This window comes from Homo sapiens, chromosome 15 (genome assembly GCF_000001405.40).
Source record: "Homo sapiens chromosome 15, GRCh38.p14 Primary Assembly".
Taxonomy (NCBI): Eukaryota; Metazoa; Chordata; class Mammalia; order Primates; family Hominidae; genus Homo; species Homo sapiens.
The window spans coordinates 69,880,607-69,889,266 of record NC_000015.10 but is presented as its reverse complement, the minus strand read 5'-3'; the positions used below and the strand labels follow the sequence as shown (position 1 = coordinate 69,889,266).

The window sequence follows — 8,660 nt, the reverse complement described above, 5'->3', positions numbered from 1 at the left end:
GGTACAGGGATAGGATAGACATTCCCATTTCTAAAAGGATAAGTAGTCCAGAAGAAAGGGGTAGCTAGTCCCCACTACATCCAAAACCCAATAGGAAAAACAGTAAGTCTTAAAGCTAGAGAATAATCTTTTATTTCATGTCCTGGATCCTGGGCACACTGATAGGGGGTTGGGGCCCCAAGGTTTTTTTAGGTAGCCTTGCTCTCGTGGTTTTACTAGGCTTAGCCCATGCTTCAGCTCTCAGGTTAGCGTTTTGTGCCTGCAGCTTTCCCAGGCTGGCTTTGCACACTGGTAGCTTTCCAGTTCTGAGGTCTCAGGAGTAGCTCCACTCCCCCAGCTATACTAGGTATTGCCCTAGTAGGGGACTCTCTGTGGTGAAAGAATCTCCTCTGCAGTGTTACCCCTGTGACACGTCTCTGCCTAGACCCCCAGGCTGTCTGAGATATCCTTTGAAATCTAGGTGGAGGTAGCCATGCCCCCACAGCTTTTGCATTATGCAAGCCTGCAGAGTCAGCACCATGTGGATGCCACAAAGGTTTATGGCTTCTACCTTGCAGAGGAGTGAGTTGGGCCACATCTGGGTTCACTTAATCTGTGACTGGGATAGCTGAAGGGGTGCTGCACCAGAACGTCAGAGTCCCGAGGTGGCAGCAAAACCTTGGAGGGTGCCCTGGGCAGTTCCCTGAAACCATTCTGCCCTCCTAGAGCTCTGGGCCTGTGATGAGAAGGCCAGCCTTGAAGATCTCTCAAATGCTTTGAGGGTCATTCTCCCATTGTCTTGAGGATCCCTTCTATTCATATTAATCTCCTTAGCAAAGGTCACTTGGCCATACCCTTGATTTGCTCTCTCTAAAATGCTTTTTTATTTTTTACATGGCCAGGCTAAAAATTTCAAACTATTTCCATTCCACTTCTTTTAAATTACAAATATCATCTTGCTATTTATTTCTTCTTGTATCTTACTATATGCAGGTGAAAGTAGGCACATAGCTTCTTCAATATTTTTCTTAGAAATTTCTTTCACCAGATATCCTAGCTCATCACTCTTAAATATTACCTTCTATAAAGTCCTTGGGCATGGACACAATTCAGCCGAGTTCTTGGCAAGTGTGTAACAAGAATGGTCTTTAGTTTCTAACATCTTGTTCCTCAGTTCCACCTGACACCTCATCAGAATGGGTTTTACCATCCATATCCAACATTCTTTTTTGTTTGTTTGTTTGTTTGTTCTGACTCAAACTTGGTGACCTGCTCTAGGACCCAGCCTCTTTGCAGTCTTCACTCTCCAGAATCCCACGCTCCAGTAAAATTGACACCCTACTGTTCTCTCACATGCTCTGCACCCATCCTTCCTCCTTCCTTTTCTCCTGCTGGTCCCTCTGCCTGGGGCACCCTCCCACCTTGAGCCCCACATTGTCTGAATCCCACTGTAGTTCTAGATACAGCTTCAATACCCAGTCCTCATGAAACCCTTGCAGCTTCTCCAATGCAGAGTGGCTTCTCCCACACTGACCCCTTGAAACATCACATCAGATGACATCACCACTAGTTTCTTAGAAAGCTGAGAGCCTCTAGATATTTTCCCACTTCATGCCCCATGGCAGCCTTGAGAGGGAGATAGCATAGCCCACTCCCTGAAGGAGAGGGGGCTGAGGCTCAGAGAAGCTGCAGCGTGGCTGAGGACACTTGGCTGGCAAGGGGAGTGCTGGGATTTTGTGCAGGTCTGTGCATTCCCAACATGTGCACTCATTGTAAAGGGGAAATGCTTCTGACCTGACCTTCTTCTCTACCCGATGAATATGGCTGTTCCAGGTGAGAACTGTGGTCATTCCTGGGTCCCTAAATGTGGCAGCACAGTGGCCAGCACAAGGTAGCTGCTCATTACATAGATGTGGAAGGAAGGGAGGGAAGGAGAAGAAAAGGATGATCTGAATCCATATACTCGAATCATAAGCATTAGGGGATAAATTAATTGCTTGATTTAGGATTTAATTAGGGCTTAAGAAAACAACAGCTGTTTATCTTGAGTACCAACTGGGTGTGATGACATATGATCCACCGATAGGAACTGAGACACTGTGCCCACTTAAGATAAGCTTCAATAAACTGAAAGTGAGCGATGAACTACTATTTAAATGGAAAGGACAATCTTTTTCAAAGTCTTAAGTAAAACATTACCAAAATGTAGCATCTTTAGACAAAGTTGGAGTTGGAGAATATAGCAGAAGGGAAAAACTCGAAGGTGGGGAGGGGGCAGGAGACCTGGGATTGAGTCTTGGTGGTTTATTAATTGTGGGACCTTGAGCAAGTCCCCCTTGTTCCATGGGTTTCCATGACCTTATCTGAGAAAAGATGACCTGGATCACTGCCCACTGGAATATTGTGCCAACTCATGCTCGCACTGAGCTCTCAATGTTTTGCCCAAGATTCTATATCTCATTTTGTTTCAAGCCACGTGAGCTCCCAAGGCAATCTTTGCAGGATTCTCTTTACCTTTTACGGTCTCTCTTCTGCCATGCTGGATTTTCTAGGTCAAGGAGGGAGACCCTGAAGCTGGCACACATGTCTGTATCTCCCTCATGCTGGGAGCTCTGGGAGGATGGGTCCACATGAGAGTGAGTTCTCTGGAACCAGTGCCCAGCTGAGGGTAGGCATAGAGTGGGCCTCTCAGGAAAGGAGGGATGACTGAGTGGATGGATGGATGAGTGAGTGAAGGAACAAATATGTGATTGTCATATTCAGGCAAAGAGACCAATGTAACCAGTCAATCCAGAAGATCTGTCGGGAAGAAGTGCTCCACATGCACTGAGTTCCTATTTGCCAGGTGCCAGGCACTGCACTTAGCCTTTTCCAAGCACTGTAATCTCCCAACAGCTCTTTGGAGTAAGTGCAGTTATTTCATCCCATTTCACAGATGGGGGAACAGAGACACCAGTTGCCCAAGCTCACAGGACTGAGGTTTAAATCCTAATCCTCTAGAGGCCCAAGCTGGTGTCTTGAACCTTCTGAGCCCTGTTTGCATCCACAGCTCCCTTTCTGCCCATCTGCAACCGAGAGACCCTTCCCCCTCTGACAAGTGTTGATCACAAATGATTGGTGGGTGGGCGACCCTTGCATCCTCTGGGAAGATCAGAAAAGGCACCAATTGGGACGTGATCAATGGGACAGGAAGAAGACACCTCTCTCACACTCTCAATAAACCCAAATTTTCTATAACCACGTCTTTATTTTTTAAATAAATCCAGAGCCCCACAGGCTGCTCAGCTTCTTCTCCAGGCCTGCCCACCCTTTGAGAGCTTCAAGGCTTAGAATGAGGCCGGGTAGCCCAGACTCACTTAGGAGTGGGACGTCTGTCACCCGCCCGTCTTGCGGGATGAACAACGAAGCTCTCTTATCCCACTTGCTCCCCCTCCCAGGGCCGCCAAGATGTAGGGACAGGCGTTAATTGAAGCCACAGCGAACTGGGCCAGAGCTGCCTGCGATGCTGAGAAACACACCGGCTGTTTTCAAAGCGCCTTTCTCTCCTCTCCTTTCTAATGAAAACCCTCATGTAATCTGTTAGTGCCACTGCACTGGAGCATGAATTATTCAGAGAAGTCTCTGTTCGGTTATCTCCCCTCCCCGGGGACGCCCCTACCATTGTCCGCACTGATGGGTCATTATGCACTCTGTGAATTTAATCTTTTAGGCTATCCGGCCGCACAGAAAAAATGTATGAATAACAATTTTCCTGTAATAACCTTCAACTAACCTTTCAACTAGAGTGAGTCATTCCAATCCCATTTTCACATCAAGAGGAGTCAAAGGCAGGCAATTACCTCTTATCTGTTTCAGAAGCTGCCCCCACCCCAACTGCACCCTTAATTTTTAAAGAGGTGTTGAAGAATGTGTGGGAGCCAGTGGAGGAGGGGGCCTGGGTGGAGGAGGTGAGAAGGGTTGGGTGGTAAGAGGCAGGCACTGGCATTCCAACACCGAACTTCAGCCTTTCCCTCTGGACCTGCCTTGCCATCTCCTAGGGTCACCAGCACTGCCTCTCATCAGCCCACAATGTGGCTTTCTCAGCCCTCTGAAAGCAGCCACCAGTTCCCTCTCTTGCCCCCACTAAGGGAAAATGTCTCCTCTATCCAGAGATTTCCACAAAGCCCTTCCATGGGAGGCAAGTTCAGATGAATTTTGTCTCCTAGTGAGAGTGTTGGGCTCACCATGCTGCTGACACAAGAGAGGATGGGGAGAGTGGGGGCCTGTGCCCACCCCAAGAGCCCCATTTCACCCCTGGGCTTGCACAGTGCAGAGATCTGGAAGGAGCCTGGACTTTGGAGTCAAGTGTAACTGGCTTTGAGACTTGGCTCCTCCAGCTGTGTGAACTTGGGTAAGCCACTTTACCTCTCTGAGCCTTGGAAGGGCTTCATGGATAAAATGGGGATAACAATAACAATAACTTACAGAATTGTTGTTAGGGTCAAATGGGACATGGAAGCAAACTCTGTCCAGTGCAAAGCCCCGGGGCTGGGTCAGCTCCTCCAGTGAGGCTGAGGCACCCCTACCCCTATTTTTCCCATCTCCTTTTTTTGATCTTGGGTTCAGCCTGGTTCTGAGCACCCAACTCCCTTCCCTAAGCTCCTTGGCTCCCCAGATAGGGGCTAATACACTCATCCACACTCAGGTCTTAGAATGGCAACTTCTAATGGCTCAAAAAATCCTAAGAGGAGGGGGCGTGAGCAGTGCTTACCCTAAGGGACTTGGCCCATTCGTAGTGTGTACAACTGACTCTAGGCCTTTCACTCCTGGAGCAAGTCTTTGCTTTGTCTGTTTTGCCTCCAACCAATCTTTTCTTTTTTTAAATTAACCAAATGAAAAATGTGAACTCAGAGTGTGAAATGACTTCTCCAAGTCCTAATTCAGAAGAACAGATCCTGGACCAGGACCCAGGGGTCCTGACTCCCCTCCCAGTGCTCAGAGCATCATACTGCCTCTTAAAGTGCTTGAATGGTGGCAGTACAGGCATGATGGCCTTTGGCAGGAAGGGATCCTTGATATTCCTCAAACCAAACCTTGCCAAGCCTTGGTGAGTCTTCTTTCCAGGGTCACACAATAGTCAAGAACCTTGTGCTGAAGGCCTGACAGATTCCTCAGTGGGTTAATGCCACTCTGGACAATCACAGAGGTAGCATGGAAAACATCAGGTGGCCTGCCTGGGTGACTAGGTTGCTCAGTGAGCATGAGCTGCAGATAGAGAGGGAGGTGCCGTGTGATGAGATGAGAGAGGACAGGGTGAGTAGGTACTGGGCTCACCGGCAGCGGGCTTCCTGTGCCATTTGTTTTCAGACTGTTGGTTAGCAGGGTCCCGCACTCCAAGCCATCTGCCTGGTTCAGGCCTACCCAGGGCAGGGAACGTCACCTCCTGAGAGCCCTGTTTCACATCTACCTCCCCCACCCTCCCAATCCCTCCCAAGACCCCACCAACCCGTTTTTTCCACAACCTGCAACCTTGACTCTTGCTTTGACACTCTAAGAAGCTTTCTGTCTTTCCCTCTTGACCTCTCTTCCTCCAGCAATTGGATGACTGGAAGGAGGTAGCCTGGACTCAGCTCTCCCTTCCTCTCTGTTCCAAGTCTGTTGGATCCTTGTCCAGGCTTTTCCTCTGCTTCTCCCTTTGGTGCATTTGCATCACTCCTAGCATAGCCCCTGCTGTCCTTGCAGAAGGATATTTCTGAAACAAAACAAAACAAAAAAATTCTCCAAGTCCTCAAAGGAAATATACAAAAACACTGGCGATGGAGGTGAATAAGTCATGAGGGTGGGGCCCTTGTGAATAGGATTAGTGCTCTTATAGAAGGGTTTGACTGAGGGAGTTCTTCCCTTCTGTCATACAAGAAGAGGTGAGGACACAGCATTTGTCCCCTTTGGAGGACACAGCAACAAGGCATCATCTTGGAAGCAGAGAGCGGCCCTCATCAGACAACTGAACATGCCAGGGCTTGATCCTGGACTTTCAGCCTTTGGAACTGTAAGAAAATAAATTTCTGTTTCTTATACATTACTCAGTCTCAGATATTTTGTTATAGCAGTAAAAAAATAAAGAATTAAGAGAGTTTCCAAACTTTAGAAATATGTATTATAAAAGTTGGCGAGCTAAGAGAATCACAGTCTTCAACTTTTTTACCCTCCCATTGAAGACCTGATTGTGATGTGAGTATCAGAGGTGGAAATCGGGGCTGCTGGTGAGGGAAGGGCCTTTGCTGCCTTTTAGGAAGGCAGGAAGAATCCAAAATGGCTGCTGACCATACAAGGAACAAACCATGAAGACCACCATAGGGGACCACTCACACTCAAGTCTGGGCTGCTGGTGCAGCACCTCCAACAGGCACCCGGGAGGAAGTAGCCTGCACTGCTCAGGGAGTGGGCAGCCTCTTCAGGAAGAAGCTTTCCTAGGTCAGAATTCAAACTCGGGTCCATCTGTGTCCAAAGCCTGCATGTGTCTCCATCATCATCTCCCTTTTTAGCACACACATAAGATCATTCTGAATCCCAATGGACTTTGCCTTAGCTTTGTTTATTTCTCCAGTGGCCATAGTAGGGACACATCCCCTTTACCTCCCCTTTCTCCACCCCACTTGTACCACCATCTTCTATAATAATGCCAAGATCACCCACCCTTAGACCCTGAAAGCAGCCTGACACCCTTTTCCCTCTGTGCCAGTTAATCAAACCTTACAGTCTCAGCTCCTGGAGAGTTTGTCTTGGAGTCTGGTACAGATTCTCAGCTCACAGCAAGGCTAGGGGAGAATGCTCTGAACTGATGGTGTGTGTTCTCTCAGATGTTTCACATTTGAGTGTATATAAAAGAGCAAAATGGGCTGAAGAGCCAACATTTGTGCTACAAAAACATGTCATATCAACAACAGCTACCTTGTCCCCAGAGAAAATTAGGTTGTATAGATGTGAATGTGGTTTTTTTTTCTTTTTTTTTTTTTCTGGGGGTGGAAGTGTTGTATTTTAATGCCTGATTTTGGCAGTTGGTGCAGAAAAATAATCGTGATGCCAATGGCCAAATTTTCCTCCATCCAATCTCAGAAAACTCGAGTTTATGTTTAAATTTCATGCAGCAGAGTTATATACACAGTGCATGAGGGCGGCTGTTCAAAATGTACACATTTCTAGCTCCACTGTAATTTTTTTTCTTTTTGCAAAAGGGAGCTGAGACATAAACACCACCCCCGTCTGACTGCACACAAGGTATGTATGTAAGCGACAAAAATAACTCCCCCGGGATTTCTACAGCCAGGCTGTCGTGCACAGGCACTGCACACGCCAGTGCAGATTGCTAACAGGTGTGGCTCGGGGGAAGGATGAAGCCAAGGACAGGCTGTGATGACTGCACGCTGGTGAAGTGATGGCAGAGAGGGGTGCACCACCTCCCTCTCCCACGACCTGGCCCCATCCCCCTTCCACAATAAGTACCAGGCACGATCTTGGGCATCATTGCCAAAATGTGGGATTCCGAGTAGTGCTATAGCTCCAAGATTGGCCTCTGGTAGGAATGTGAGAGGACATAAATGTCATCCTGAGTTTGGTGAGCTGGAGTAGCCACTCTGAAGCAAGGCTGGACTTGCTCCCTACTGTCCACTGCTTAAGAAACCAATGGTCTTAGGTCCCTGTAGAATCTAGGATGACGAATACTGAGGTGCTCTAGAAACATAGGCTGTTTCCGGAGCCTCCCTGTTGCCCGTGAGATAGAAGGAGCAGGACCCTCCCACTTCACAGGTGAGTCTCTGAGAGGCTGAGTCACTGCAGTATGGTCATACAGCCAGGCAAAGGCAGAAAACAGCCTGGACACCTTCTGCTGCTTTTGCAACAGACTATGAGGAGAGGCCCAGGGGAATAGCACGCAGGGTGCAGGGTGATTTGACTGGAGGGACAGAGGAAGTCCTGCCTCACCCATTTGCAGACCTGAAATCCTCAAAGGGAGTCAGCCATTGGATGTTGACAAAATTTCCCAAAGGTGTGTTAGGTGGCACCTGGATTCAAGATGTGCAAAAGCGTTAAGAGGGTCTGTCCCCAAAAAGTTTGGGCAATGCTGATTTAAACAAACGTAAAGCATTTTATACCCCGCAGGACTTCTCAGAGCCCTTACTATGCTAATGACCCAAGGTGGGGACTTAGTATGCAGGATCTTCCAACCACATTGACCGGAAAAATATTTTCACAAAGCCCTTTTCAGACCTAGTGCTTTGCAGACACACACTTTGTGGAATGCTGGATTAAGGCAATGATGAGTTTAGAAAGGCATATTTTTCTCAGGGAGGAGTAAAATATTATTCTAATATTAGTGAAATCCTTCTAAATGCAAAGTGGTTTAACAGATGAGCTTTAAATCATCTGAAAGACTCTGAAGAAATGGGACACAGGAAAGGTAAGTTTTGATTTGAAGAAGAGCAGAGGGAAGTGAAACTGCCTTAAATCCAATTTGAGAAAAGCTTATTTAAATGTGTTGCTGGAAAAAAAAAAAAAAAGAAAGAAAGAAAGAAAAAATGGTTTCAAGTTTTGTTGAAGTTTGGCTTTGTACCAAAAACTCTTAGGCCAAGGTGAGACGTAAAAGGTGCTAATGCGTTGCCCAAGGGGCCTATGTCAGATTCAAGCAAAGCCCAGCCAGAGGCATC

The 8,660-nt window shown here is 47.5% G+C and overlaps 1 annotated feature.

Annotated features, from left to right (window-relative positions):
- Positions 7,631-7,920: an enhancer, noted in NCBI's record as "active region_9664". NCBI's record gives its function as "activates an Ori minimal core promoter by ATAC-STARR-seq in GM12878 lymphoblastoid cells {active_cell/tissue: GM12878}" and the evidence as "EXISTENCE:reporter gene assay evidence [ECO:0000049][PMID:35858748]".